This window comes from Homo sapiens, chromosome 1 (assembly GCF_000001405.40).
Source record: "Homo sapiens chromosome 1, GRCh38.p14 Primary Assembly".
NCBI classification, from domain to species: domain Eukaryota; kingdom Metazoa; phylum Chordata; class Mammalia; order Primates; family Hominidae; genus Homo; species Homo sapiens.
Genome location: NC_000001.11, coordinates 86861885 through 86876983, shown reverse-complemented (window position 1 = coordinate 86876983; position 15099 = coordinate 86861885). Strand labels below are relative to the sequence as shown.

At 36.5% G+C, this 15099-nt stretch overlaps 1 protein-coding gene across 4 annotated transcripts in view; it reads left to right on the top strand.

The window, feature by feature from the left end:
• Nucleotides 1-14539, top strand: part of SELENOF (selenoprotein F) — a 52133-nt gene extending 37594 nt beyond the window's left edge. For 3 of the 4 annotated variants that reach the window (NR_144513.1, NR_144512.1, NM_004261.5), the window contains exons 4-5: nt 8882-8931; nt 13379-14539. Coding sequence is in view for 2 of the 4 variants with exons in the window: in NM_004261.5 (NP_004252.2) it covers nt 8882-8931; nt 13379-13510 (182 nt within the window). In the remaining 2 variants the exon portion in view is untranslated. The remainder of the gene's footprint in view (nt 1-8881; nt 8932-13378) is intronic. The other variant, NM_203341.3, reaches the window with a different exon arrangement.
• The last annotated feature ends 560 nt before the right edge of the window (nt 14540-15099 follow it).

Below are 15099 nucleotides of genomic sequence, written 5' to 3'. Positions count from 1 at the left end.
AGTCAATATGTATTATAACTGCAGCCTTTCTCATATGCAATATTCTGAATATTGACCTCTAGCCATTTTTCAAAGTACCCTAATAGGGCTTCTCTTTCTACTGTTTTACCTCCTGACTACTAAATCTTACTTGGCCCTAGCCTTTGAAACTGTCTTCACTTGTGTGACTTCATTATCTCCTAGCTTTCTGCTACTTCTAACATTTCTTTCTCTTCTGTTCTGGCATCTCTTCTACTGCCTGCACTTCAAACGTTGTTGTTAGTCAGGGTCTATTATCTTGAGATTTTCTTCTCTTCTGACTCTACCGAATGGTGTCCCACTCCCTCAGTTTCAATTACAGTACTTATCTGATGACTACCAATCTATATCTTTACATAAAGTTTTGTTAGAAATTGTATTTCTTATATTTTTTTACTTCCATGGGACATTTCCATTTAGATGATTTCATAGGTACCTTAAACCAATATACATATAAGAATCACCTGGAGATCTTCTTAAAATACAGAGTACAATTCTATAAATTTGGGATGGGTCCTGAGAGTCTATATTTCTTACAGTCCTACAGACTGTGGTCCACATTTTTAATACAAAGGCTTTAAACACAGCATGTCCAAAAACTGTATTAATCCTCTTCTCTGTTAAAAGTATACCATCTTCCCTGTTTCTATAAATGGCATTATGATCAGGCAAAGGCATAAGCATGAAACACAAGAATCATGATTGATCTTTCACACGTTATATCCAGTTAGTCACCATGTTGTGTCTCTTCTCCCTCAGTAATAACCTTCATAGTCCCTTTCTCTTTTCTGTATTTTCAATCAGGACCTTAACATCTTTATCCAAAAGGATTAGGTACTTGTTATCTAGTCTGCCTCTTTTCCCTTTTCTTACTTCATTACCTCTTCAACACAACAACCAAAAGAGACCCTTCTCATAAAACAAATCTGATTGTGTCTCTCTCTTGCTTAAAATCCTTTATAGTTCTCTGTCACATACAAAATCAAATACAAGACCCGCCATGACATGGTTTCTCTTCTAGATTCACATCTCTAGTTTATGCAAAACTATGTGCAACTCTCTGAGCTCTGACTTCTGTGTGTTTGCACACACTGAATATTCTTGCTAACTTGTGCTGCTTCCTAATTCTTGTGGCAAATTCCAGTTCATTCAAAATTTAGCTCCAGCATTGTTTTTGGGTGGTGTTTAAACAGTGTTTTACTTTTCTCTTTATGTTCCATAACACCTCCTACATAAGATTATATTTGGCGTACTGGTCTTTTGCCTCTATCAAACTAGAAGTCTTTAGAACTCAAAGTTTGTGTTCTGTTTTTTGTTTTTTAATCATTGATATACCCAAAATCTATGTAACATTGCACCTGGTATTAAGAGGAATTGAAATATTTATGGAATGAATGCACTGATTTATTAAATTTATCTAATTCAAGGGATGCCCCCACTTTTGACAAGTGAGAATCTGGTGAAAAGCCTGTGTTTCCATTTGTTATATGCCCTTGATGAATTTACAGGATTCAAACGTTTATAAAAAGTTCTCATCTTTTCCTAAAAGTCATAATTTTTTAGTTTGTCTTGTCTTCATTTTGTACCTCCAGTCTTCCTACATTCTCTTAAGTTGCCCTTCTCTGTTTTCAAGTGCTTCTAAATTGTCCTAATGGGATGACACAATTTTGCAGTCCAGATGTATATAATAGTAAATTTTCTTTTCTTTTTTGTTTTTTTTTTTTCGAGACGGAGTCTCACTTTGTCTCCCAGGCTGGAGTGCAGTGGCGTGATCTCGGCTCACTGCAACCTCCACCTCCCAGGTTCCAGCAATTCTCCTGCCTCAGCCTCCCAAGTAGCTGGGATTACAGGCATGCGCCACCACACCCAGCTAACTTTTTTGTGTGTGTATTTTGGTAGAGATGGAGTTTCACCATGTTGGCCATGCTGGTCTGGAACTCCTGACCTCGGGTGATCTGCCCATCTTGGCCTCCCAGAGTGCTGGCATTACAGGCATGAGCCACCATGCCCAGCCAATTTTCTGTTTTAGAAATACTTTTTTGATTACTGAATAGCTTTTGTTGAACACAGTTGAGAATTAGGTTGTCTATTGTTGCCATTCTCTATATTGATGTTTCTGGATATGGTATGACATTGTTATTTAGAGTATGTTCTAATTCAAATATACTTATTTCTAATCAACAGGATTATATTTTGTCCGAGTATATTTTGTCTCTTTTTTCATTTATATTTTCACGTGTTTGTGATTTTGAAAATAACATAATTCAAACATTTTTCTTTAACCTCAGAACATATACTTCTTTGTTATCCCCCCATTTCCACATATACCCTCTTTCTAGAACAAGGAGGAGGACAGATGTGGGTTTGGGTTTTGGGGTTTTTTTTTTAATACTCCTTAATACTTTTTTAAAAAATACTCCTTTTTAATACTCCTTAAAGTTAGCTCTAAATCCCTTGACATTCTGAGCAGTGTGTATAGCAAAACTTAGCTCTTCTAGGGGGCAGCATGAATGACTTGCTAAGTCCTAAGGGAAAAACTGAAACATTTAATCTGTCTTTAAATCACTTCTGTTTGTTTGATCACTCTGAGTGTTATTTACAAAATTGCCTTTATTAGTGACAAATAATTAAATTGACATAGGAACATTTTCTGGAAATTAGAGTGATTGGATTTTCTTTAGAAATCTCCAAATTGGTGGCTGGGCAAGGTGGCTTACGCCTGTATTCCCACCACTTTGGGAGGCCGAGGCAGGCAGATCACGAGGTCAGGCGTTCGAGACCAGCCTGACTAGCATGGTGAAACCCCGTCTCTACTAAATATACAAAAAAAAAAAATTAGCAGGGAATCATTATTTGATTTTTTTATTGTGTGACCCACATAGTATGACACCATTTCTTTAGTCTTTTTTTTTTTAAGCTTTCATTGAACACATTTGAGAATTTGGAATTTTTTGCTTTCTGCCCATAATGGTAGAGAAGAAAATTGAGAGAAACGCTTCTAATGATTAAATGGATCAGAAAATGAATGCAAAGAGATAAAATAACACTTTAGACCTGGAGTGACCAACTAGCCAAACATGGCTGTTTTAAATAATTTTTTTTTTTTTTTTTTTGAGACGGAGTTTCACTCCTGTTGTTCAGGCTGGAGTGCGACAGCGCAATCTTGGCTCACCACAACTTCCACCTTCTGGGTTCAAGTGATTTTCCTACCTCAGCCTCCCAAGTAGCTGGGATTACAGGCATGCACCACCACGCCCAGCTAATTTTTTGTATTTTTTGTAGAGATGGGGTTTCTCCATGGTGGTCAGGCTGGTCTCGAACTCTCGACCTCAGGTGATCTGCCTGCCTCAGCCTCCCAAAGTGCTGGAATTATAGGCATGAGCCACCGTGCCCAGCCTAATTTTTTAAAATTATATAAAACTAAACATTCAGTTCCTTAGACACACTAGCTACATTTCAGATGGTCAGTAACCACCATACCAAAAAGAACAGATGAAGAATATTTCCTTTATCTCAGAAAGTTCTATTAGAAAGTCCTATTCTAGACTCTAATGATGGTAAAATTGATCATATGAGCAGAAGCTCAGACTCTGAAACCTCATTTGACAATATCCTGAATGAATTTTCTCAGAAATCAAGAGTGAGTAAACAATATATTACCAAGGTCAGAAAGGAAATAATAGTATTGTTTGTTTTGTTTTGTTTCTTTGAGACGGAGTCTCGCTGTGTTGTCCAGGCTGGAGTGCAGTGGCGGGATCTCGGCTCACTGCAACCTCTGCCTCCCAGGTTCAAACAATCCTCCTACCTTAGTCTCCCAAGTAGCTGGGAATACAGGCATGCACCACCGTGCCTGGATAATTTATTTTTTATTTTATTTATTTATTTATTTATTTATTTATTTATTTATTTATTTATTTATTTTAGACGGAGTCACACTGTCGCCCAGGCTGGAGTGCAGTGGCGCTTGCAGTGATTTTGGCTCACTGCAAGCTCCGCCTCCCAGGTTCACGCCATTCTCCTGCCTCAGCCTCCGGAGTAGCCGCGCTACAGGCGCCTGCCACCACGCCAGCTAATTTTTTGTATTTTTAGTAGAGACGGGGTTTCACCGTGTTAGCCAGGATGGTCTCAATCTCCTGACCTCGTGATCCTCCCACCTCGGCCTCCCAAAGTGCTGGGATTACAGGCGTGAGCTACCACGCCGGGCCCGTGCCTGGCTAATTTTTGTATTGAGACGGGGTTTCCACCATGTTGGCCAGGCTGGTCTGTAACTCGACCTCAGGTGATCTGCCCGCATTCGTGGCTCACGGCTATAATCCCAGCACTTTGGAAGGCCGAGGCGGGTGGATCACCTGAGGTTGGGAATTCGACACCAGCCTGACCAACATGGAGAAACCTCGTCTTTACTAAAAATACAAAAAAAAAAAAAAACATTAGCTGGGCGTTGTGGCGCATGCCTGTAATCCCAGCTGCTCGGGAGGCTGAGGCAGGAGAATCGCCTGAACCCGAGAGGCGGAGGTTGCGGTGAGCCAAGATCGTGCAATTGCATTCCAGCCTGGGCAACAAGAGCGAAACTATGCCTCAAATAAAAAACAAAACAAAACAAAAAAAGAGCCAGAGTAAAAAGTTACAGCCTATTAGAAATGTATTTGGAATCTGGAATCAGTATTTACAGCTTGGCTGTGTTCCCATTTCATGCATGATAGTCAATGAGCAGTTAGTTGCATTCAAAGCACATTGCTCATTTTGGTTATATTTACCTTCAAAATCAGGAAAATACGGAATAAATATTTGCGTTTATGTGGTTAATACTCACTAAACTTTTGAATAGATTTGTTTTTCACTATCCCTTTCTTTTGTAAAATTATTCATAAAATCATTTAAAAATACAAAAATAAACAGAGTTCACTGAACCCAGATGGTAAATGGTGGTGATGACTATTTTTTCTTGTATACCGAAAGTTATTAATAGAATATTCCAGCTGCCCTCCTCCAGAATCTTTTAAAAGAAAAAAAAAAGTCTCTTTAAGGTTGCCATAAGCTCCATTATTTCTTTTCTTGGACTTTATTTGCTATTTGCATATTTAATGACTCATGCAGCTATAGAGCACATGAGGTGATTACAATGTGATCAAGTCAGAAGAATACAACAAATAATATTATGTATTCAAATACCAATCTTTTTATACAATTTTAAAATTCACCATCGTTATTTTGCTTATAATTTGTAAAACATCTTGAGTTTTTTTCTCATTCATAAATGAGCCATGATGTATGTTTACATTGAGAAATTAAATACAGTGGTAGGTTTAGTAATAAAATAGAGGCCAAAATCTTTGAACTTGAGGAACTGTAGTTTTTCCTGACTGGCTGAAGATCCACCAGCACAGTTGCCTTTCTTAGCATACATTTTTATTATACTTTTTCAGTTTACTTTCTTCAGTAAAACATTTGAAGTTGACTTTGGGGCTATTTTGACTATTAAGAAATATCAAATTTTAGGAGTATTTTGAAGTAGTAAGAGAAAATTCTTTTGAATCCTTTAGTATTATGTCAAAAGAAGGACTGTTTTATGTTCAAGTGAACATAAATTCTCAGTTCTTATTTTGTTTCTTGTTTCTTTATGACTCTAACATACTAAGATCTCCTTGCTCTGAACTTAGAGTACTTATTGTCAATTGTTAAATTAACGACATTGTTTTTATTATCACCTTATCTTTTTATTTGTTGCAGATCTGTTTAAGCAGACTGTAGATGTATTGACATTAAAGAACTCAGTTTCCTCATATTCTCATGTAGCTTATCGAATGCCATGTGTATATAATGAGTACTCAAATATTTGTTAAAAGATTTATTTACTGCCTGTAAAATGTGATTTGCTGCTACAAGGTATTTAACAGATATTCAAAATTAGGAAGCTATGGATCTACGTTTAGCAGAGAGAGAAAAGGAAAGAACTGATGAAAAATAGTAATTAGTGACTCATCTTAGTATTCCTTTTAAATTTGTTCACTTATTGCAGTCTGTTAAAAAAAAAAAATCTTTTTACTGGCCGGGCACAGTGGCTCACGCCTGTAATCCCAGCACTTTGGGAGGCCGAGGTGGGCAGATCACGAGGTCAGGAGATTGAGACCATCCTGGCTAACGCGGTGAAACCCCGTCTCTACTAAAAATAAAAAAAAATTAGCTGTGCGTGGTGGCGGGTGCCTGTAGTCCCAGCTGCTGGGTAGGCTGAGGCAGGAGAATGGCGTGAACCCAGGAAGGCGGAGCTTGCAGTGCGCCGAGATCGCGCCACTGCACTCCAGCCTGGGCGACAGAGCAAGACTCCGTCTCAAAAAAAAAAAATATTTTAATAAGTGAACTATTTATTAAGTATGCTAAGCTCTGTTATGGATCCAAAAATATATGTATAAAAATAGTCCTTTTACCAGAAGGTTTCGTATGTAGTAGAGAAGGCATGTAGACACAGTTACTGCGTGTTACATAGTATTTTGCACAGACATGCAAATAGCATTTGCCAGAGGAACAGCATAAAAGGCAATAAAAATCATAAGATCATTTTTGTTTGGGGATTCAGGAGTTTGCAGAATATCTGGAAAAATCCTAAAGGATAAAGTTAATAGAAATGATGTTTTAATAAGCCAGAATAGCATAATTGGTTTCATTTTGAAATAAATTTTGTAGGGGAGGATTAGGTGAGATATTTGAGTCAAATGTGTGAAGACGTTCACAATGAAGCAAATCTATAGTGCTATTGCTATCTAATTCTAAAGTAAAAATAAGTTCTCAAAAGCATGTGTGTCACTATAAAATCTAAGATGAGAATTATGCAAATGATCAATAACTGGTATTAACGATCAAGTATCTAAATGAAACAATTGTTTTTATTTTAGAAAAATGTATTACAGTGGCTCACGCCTATAATCCCAGCACTTTGGGAGGCCAAGGCAGGCGGATCACAAGGTCAGGAGATCGAGACCATCCTGGCTAACATGGTGAAACCCCATCTCTACTAAAAATAAAAAAATTAGCCAGGTGTGGTGGCACGTGTCTGTAGTCACTGCTGCTTGGGAGGCTGAGGCAGGAGAATCACTTGAACCCGGGAAGCAGAGGTTGCAGTGAGCCGAGATTGCGCCACTGCACTCCAGCCTGGGCAAGACCGAGGCTGACCCCGCGCTCAGCCGAGTGAGACCCCGTCTCAAAAAAAGAAAGAAAGAAAGAAAGAAAAGAAAAGAAAGAAAGAAGGAAGGAAGGAAGGAAAGAAGAAAGAAAGATGTATTACACACCTTTTAATTTGAATTAATTAGGCATGATCATTATTGAAAATTGGTAAAGTATAGATTGATAACAACCAAAACGGGAAAATATTCATTTAAAACTTTCCCAAATAAATGCCCCATGTATAGGCCTCTATTAAAATAATAACAGTAAACATTTTTTGAACCACTTTATATATTTTAAGATTTGTTTAGAGCTTTTTCATTTGCACGGGAAAATATTCGCCTTTTTAAAACAACAGTAGGAAACAAATTGAAAAAGAAAGGAAAAATCCTTGCTTTTTACACATAAAAGTTTTCTTTGTCACTAAATATAGATCATAATTTTTCAATGATTATGTGGTACATATTAATTTGTTTAACCAATATCGTTTTACACATTTAGATTATTTCCAAATTTTCAGACTTGGTTTAGCGAGACTTTTTATAAGTTATTTCCTCAGAATAAAGTCCTAGAAGTGTACTTGCAGGTTTACAAAGTACGTACATTTTAAGACTCTTGGTTGATTTTGCTAAATACCCTTCAGGAAGGATGTGCCTATTTATATTCCTCCCATAGCTCATTCCCAGCAAAATCCCTGTCCCTGTTCCCTCTCTAACCTTTAGTATTCTTTGTAATCTTTGTAATTCCGAATGTGAGTACCTCATTGTTATGGCATTTCTTCAATTATATGTGAAGTTGAACATTTATTTCAAATGTTTATTGACCATTTGTATATTTGTACATATTGCTATACATAGTGTTTTTTCTTAATTATTTGTAAGAGCCCTTTTATATATTAGATGTTAGAGATAATTTTCTTCAGTTTATCATTTTTATTTTTAATTTGCTTATGGTGGTGTTTTGCTGTCCTGATGTTTCCATTTTTACATAGGCGTATCTATAAAACATTTCCTTTTGGGTCATGCTTAGGAGTAGATTTTTGTGTTCCATATTTATGTAAGTTCTCTGTGCTGTAGGCTTTGGTAGTATTTTTAACCTCTCCTTTTTAGCAGTTATCATGACTCATTAGTTCTGTGATTTTTTTTTTCTATAAACAGTTTGGCACCTTTCTCAGAAGTGTTTATTGAGTAACTCATACACACTGCCAGACAAACATATATCTCTTTTTCCCTCTCCCCTTCCCCTCTCCCTCTCTCTGATTTGATAGCTTTAGCACATTAAAAAATTCTTACAGACATTTTTATCTCTTTTAATTTCCTATTCTATTCTTTTATCTGTTCTGGTATCAGTATCACATAGTATATTAATAACAATGGAACAAATTCTCTCTCCATATCTTTTTAAAAACTGCCCTGACTATTCTTACACATTACTCTTAAAATTGAGCTGTACTGTCTATCACTTTTGTCAAACCTTAAAATCCTATTGGAATTTGGGATTTCTATTAATTTGAAACAATTAGTGTCTTAAAATATTGGAGAATATGGTATGTCTCTCCATTTATCCACAGATGTTTAAATTTTCTTAGTTTTTTCATATAGGATATAATGTTTGATTTGTTGTTTATTTCCACTTTTATATTAATCTTTTTAGCTAGCTTGGATTTGGAAGTGAACTACTGAATCTTTTTTTCTTTTTTTATAAGCTTTTGTTAGGAGTGATAAACCCAAACTGTTCAGAGGACTGCAAATCAAGGTAAGGTGATTGTAGTGGAGATCTCTTTTTTCCAGCCTTAATTTCTTTATTTTATAATTAAAGTAAATATTTGAATAAATGGTTTCCCCCATAAACATGTGCAAATATTATGTATCAATTTAAATTTTTAATTTCACTGAAAAATAATTTTTTTAAATTAATAGACTTTATTTTTTTAGAGCACTTTTAGGTTTATGAAAATTTGAATGCAAAGGAAAGAGTATTCCCATATACTCCCTGGCCCCCACCCCCACCCTCAGTTTTCCTGTTGTAACATCTTGCATTGGTGTGGTACATTTGTTACAATTGATGAATCAATATTGATATATTAATTAAATTTAATAGTTCGCATTAGCATTCATTCTTTGTGTTGTATAATTATAGGAGTTTTGCCAAATGCATAATATTACATATCTACCATTACAGTATCATACAGAATAGTTTCACTGCCCTAAGAAATCTCCAATCCTCACACGTTCAGGTCATTTCTCTCCCTCTTCCCCACCCCCTGGCAACCACTGATTTGTTGTTGTTGTTGTTGTTGTTGTTGTTGTTGTTGTTGAGACGGAGTCTTGCTCTGTTGCCCAGGCTGGAGTGCAGTGGCACCATCTTGGTTCACTGCAACCTCTGCCTCCTGGGTTCAAGCAATTCTCATGTCTCAGCTTCCTGAGCAGCTTTATTACAGGAGCACGCCACCATGCCCAGCTAGTTTTTTTGTATTTTTAGTAGAGATGGGGTTTCGCCACATTGGTCAGGCTGGTCTCAAACTCCTGACCTCAAGTGATCCACCTGCCCCAGCCTCCCAAAGTGCTGGGTAATATTACAGGTGTGAGCCACTGCGCCTGGCCACCACTGATTTTTTTATTATCTCTATAATTTTGCCTTTTCCAGAATGTTATATATTTGGAACCATACAATATGTAGCCTTTTCAGATTGGCTTCTTATTACTGAATATTACTCGTTATTACCAGTTTTGTCATTCACCTGTGGAAGGACATCTTGATTGCTTCCAATTTGGGGCAATTTTGAGTAAAGCTAATATAAATATTTTTGTGTAATTTCTGTGTACACATAAGTTTTCAACTCATTGAGGTAAATAACTGAGTGCAATTGCTGGGTCATACAGTTAAGATTGTTTAACTTTGTAAGAAACTGCAAAACTGTCTTCCAAAGTGATGACATCATGTTGCATTTGCCCTAGCAGTGATTAAGAGGTCCTATTGCTCCACATCCTCACCAGCTTTAGGTATTGTTACTGTTTTGGATTTTAGTTGTTCTAATAAGTATGTGATGATATTTCATTGTTATTTTAATTTGCAATTCCCTAATGATACATGATTTGAATATCTTTTCATTTGTTTATTTGCCATCTGTGTGTCTTTGGTGAGATGTCTGTTCAGATCTTTTGCCCTCTTTTTTTAAATTGTGGTAAAAAATATTAAATGTACAATCTTAACCAATTTTAAGTGTACTACAGTCCAGTATTAAGTATTTTCACATTGTTCTGTAACAGTTCTCTATAACTTTTTCATCTTGTGAAACTGAAACTCTACGCCCATTAAACACTTAATTTTATCTTTCTGTGCCCACCACCACCCCCGCCCTCCTGCCAGCCCGTGACAACTACCTGTTTTCTGTTTCTATAGTTTTGACTACTTCAGATACTTACTATGAGTGGAATCATATAGTATTTGTCCTTGTGACTGATTTACTTGGATCAGGGTTCATCCATGTTGTATTGTGTGACAGGATTTCCTTCCTTTTTAAGAATGCATAGTATTCCACTACACACACACACACACACACACACACACACACACAGAGACACACACTTTTTTTTTTTTTTTTTTTTTTTTGGACATGGTCTTACTCTGTCACCCAGGCTGGAAGGCAGTGATGTGATCACAGCTCACTGCATCCTCACCCTCTAAGGCTCAAGCAATCCCGCCACCTCAGCCTCCCAAGATTCTGAGACCACAGGTACACACCAACATGACCAGCTAATTTTTTTTATTTTTTTATAGAGATAGGGTCTTGCTATGTTGCCTAAGCTGGTCTTGTATTCCTGGGCTCGGGCGATCCTCCTGCCTCAGCCTTCCAAAGAACGGGGATTTACAGGCATGAGCCACTGTGCCCAGCTCCCATTTTCTTTACCCATGCATCCATCAGTGGACATTTGAGTTGCTTCCATCCCTTGGCTATTGTAAATAATGCTTTTATGACATTTGGGTGTGCAAATACCTCTTCAAGGCCCTTTTCTTAGTTCTTTTGAGTCTATATTCCAAGAAGTGGAATTGCTGGATCATATGGTAATTCTATTTTTAATTTTTTGAGGAACCTCTATACTGTTTTCCGTAATGACTTCACCATTTTACAGTCCCACCAACAGGGCACAAGTGTTCCAATATCTCTATATCCTTGTCAACACTTGTTATTTTCTGTTTTTTGGTAGTAGCCATCCTAATAGGTATGAGGTACTGTCTCACTGTGGCTTTGATTTGCATTTCTCTTAAAATAAATGGTGTTGAACATTTTGTTGACCATTTGTTTATCTTCTTTAGAACATTGTTTATTCAAGTCCTTTGCCCATTTTATAATTGGGATTTTTGGTTGTTGTTGTTAAGTTGTGGAGGTTCCATCTATTCTGGATATTAAACCTTTATCAGATATATATGATTTGCAAATATTTTCTCCCCTTCTCTGGGTTGTCTTTTCATTCTGTTCATTGTTTCATTTGATGCACTGAAGTTTATAAGTTTGAGTGGTCCTGTTACTGTTTTTGTTTTTTTGCCTACTTTTAAATTGAGGTTTTTTGTTTGTTTGTTTGTTTGTTTGTTTGGTAAGCTGAGCTTTAAGAGTTCTTTGTATATTTTGAATACAAGTTCTTTATCAGATAGGTGTTTTGCAACTGATTGTGGCATATAATTCCTTATACACATTGCTGGATTTGACTGCTAATATTTTGTTGAGGATTTTTACAACTATATTATATCTAATTTCTTATTTCCTTTTGGGATTATAATAAGTTTTTTAATAAATAAACATTTTTAAATATTGGGATCTCAAATCCAAGCAAAAAAGAAAAAAAAATCCTTAACTTAAGAAGTAACCTGACCGGCTGGGTGCGGTGGCTCCCACCTATGTAATCCCAGCACTTTGGGAGGCGGAGGTGGGCAGATAACCTGAGGTCAGGAGTTCGAGACCAACCTGGCCAACATGGTGAAACCCCATCTCTACTAAAAATACAAAATGCCGGGTGTGGTAGCAGGGGCCTGTAATCCCAGCTACTCGGGAGGCTGAGGCAGGAGAATTGCTTGAACCCAGGAGGCAGAGGTGGCAGTGAACCGAGATCACGCCATTGCACTCTAGCCTGGACAACAAGCGAAACTCCATCCCAAAAAAAAAAAAAAAGTAACCTGACCAAAAATGGTTAAGTAGTAATGTTATTATTGATTCATTAGCCTGGATGGCCTATTTTCTAAACTCCACAAATGGGTTGGGAATATACCAAGTGTTAATAATCACATCTGAGCTAGTCTCCATCTTTGGAGTTCACAACCCCAGAATACCCTAGATAAACTGAAGCATAATTCTGGAAGAAGTTCTAAGAACTCTGTCATCACTGCCGAACTACATAACTACATTGTTAGTTATCCAATGCTACTTAATTTAAAATTGGATATTTGATCTCTTAATGAATGGCTGTTGTCACATTTACCCAGAATTAGAATTTCTCAGAGCTCTCTGGAGAAATATTGGACCCAACTAATGGATTTGAAGTTTCAGGAACCCAGCCTAATTCTAAACTGATTACAAATAAAATCATTAGATTTGTTAAGCCAAGAAAAATGTATGATCCAGTATGTGATTGATTCTGTGTCTGCAAATTTATATGCACAGCGTATTTTAAAACATTGCTCTTATACCATCATTTTCTCAACTATTTTGAACTTGTCTGCCTCCATTCAATTTTAAGTTCATTTGAGAGTATCATGTGGGCATTACATACTTGTTAATTTCAATAATAAGCTCAAATCCCCAATAAACTGTCTTGCTACTAATAGATATTTTTCTCTTTAAAAGTAAAGTAATTTCACTTGCTTCTAGTCCCAGGGAGGCTGAGGTGGGAGGATCACTTGAAATCGGGAGGTGGAGGTTGCAGTGAGCTGAGATTGTGCCACTACACTGCAGCCTGGGTGACAGAGCAAGACCCTTTCTCATGAATGAATGAATGAATGAATGAGTGATTTTTTTAATTCTCCTTTTTTTCCGAAATCCTGTAAAACTCTTCTCCTTAAAGATTTCCTTTAAGACTTGTTTATTGTCATGTCTAAAAGCCTTTTTTTAATTACTAAATTTAAACTGGATTGAATTGCTTTGTCTTAGATGAGGCTGAGAAGGTTGTTTCTGAACAGAAAGTAATGATGACGTCCCTCTTTTTTGTAGTATGTCCGTGGTTCAGACCCTGTATTAAAGCTTTTGGACGACAATGGGAACATTGCTGAAGAACTGAGCATTCTCAAATGGAACACAGACAGTGTAGAAGAATTCCTGAGTGAAAAGTTGGAACGCATATAAATCTTGCTTAAATTTTGTCCTATCCTTTTGTTACCTTATCAAATGAAATATTACAGCACCTAGAAAATAATTTAGTTTTGCTTGCTTCCATTGATCAGTCTTTTACTTGAGGCATTAAATATCTAATTAAATCGTGAAATGGCAGTATAGTCCATGATATCTAAGGAGTTGGCAAGCTTAACAAAACCCATTTTTTATAAATGTCCATCCTCCTGCATTTGTTGATACCACTAACAAAATGCTTTGTAACAGACTTGCGGTTAATTATGCAAATGATAGTTTGTGATAATTGGTCCAGTTTTACGAACAACAGATTTCTAAATTAGAGAGGTTAACAAGACAGATGATTACTATGCCTCATGTGCTGTGTGCTCTTTGAAAGGAATGACAGCAGACTACAAAGCAAATAAGATATACTGAGCCTCAACAGATTGCCTGCTCCTCAGAGTCTCTCCTATTTTTGTATTACCCAGCTTTCTTTTTAATACAAATGTTATTTATAGTTTACAATGAATGCACTGCATAAAAACTTTGTAGCTTCATTATTGTAAAACATATTCAAGATCCTACAGTAAGAGTGAAACATTCACAAAGATTTGCGTTAATGAAGACTACACAGAAAACCTTTCTAGGGATTTGTGTGGATCAGATACATACTTGGCAAATTTTTGAGTTTTACATTCTTACAGAAAAGTCCATTTAAAAGTGATCATTTGTAAGACCAAAATATAAATAAAAAGTTTCAAAAATCTATCTGAATTTGGAATTCTTCTGGTTTGTTCTTTCATGTTTAAAAATGATGTTTTTCAATGCATTTTTTTCATGTAAGCCCTTTTTTTAGCCAAAATGTAAAAATGGCTGTAATATTTAAAACTTATAACATCTTATTGTTGGTAATAGTGCTTTATATTTGTCTGATTTTATTTTTCAAAGTTTTTTCATTTATGAACACATTTTCATTGGTATATTATTTAAGGAATATCTCTTGATATAGAATTTTTATATTAAAAATGATTTTTCTTTGCTTAACCTTCTGTGTGGTTCAAAGTGACTTCTTCATAAGATCAAATTGGTCTAATATTCTATTATGTCGGCTTTACCTCAGGATAAATTCTTCATAATCTAGAAACTTCGCTGTTGATTTTGAATTAAATTATTTTAATGAAGGATAGTTGGAAATCTATAAAGGCAGCTCTATCAGAGAATGTTTATAAAGTATGTACGTATGTATGTATGTATTTATTTATTGAGACGGAGTTTTGTTCTTGTTTCCCAGGCCTGGAGTGCAATGGCGTGATCTCAGCTCACGGCAACCTCTGCCTCCCGGGTTCAAGCGATTCTCCTGCCTTAGCCTCAGAGTAGCTGGGATTACAGGCATGCGCCACCACGCCCAGCTAATTTTGTATTTTTAGTATAGACGGGGTTTCTCCAGGTTGGTCAGGCGAGTCTTGAACTCCCGACTTCAGGTGATCTGCCCACCTCAACCTCCCAAAGTGCTGGGATTACAGGCGTGAGCCACCACGCCTGGCCTATAAAGCATTTATTTTGAATAGAGATGAGTTACTAATATTTACTAGCAGTTTGTGTTA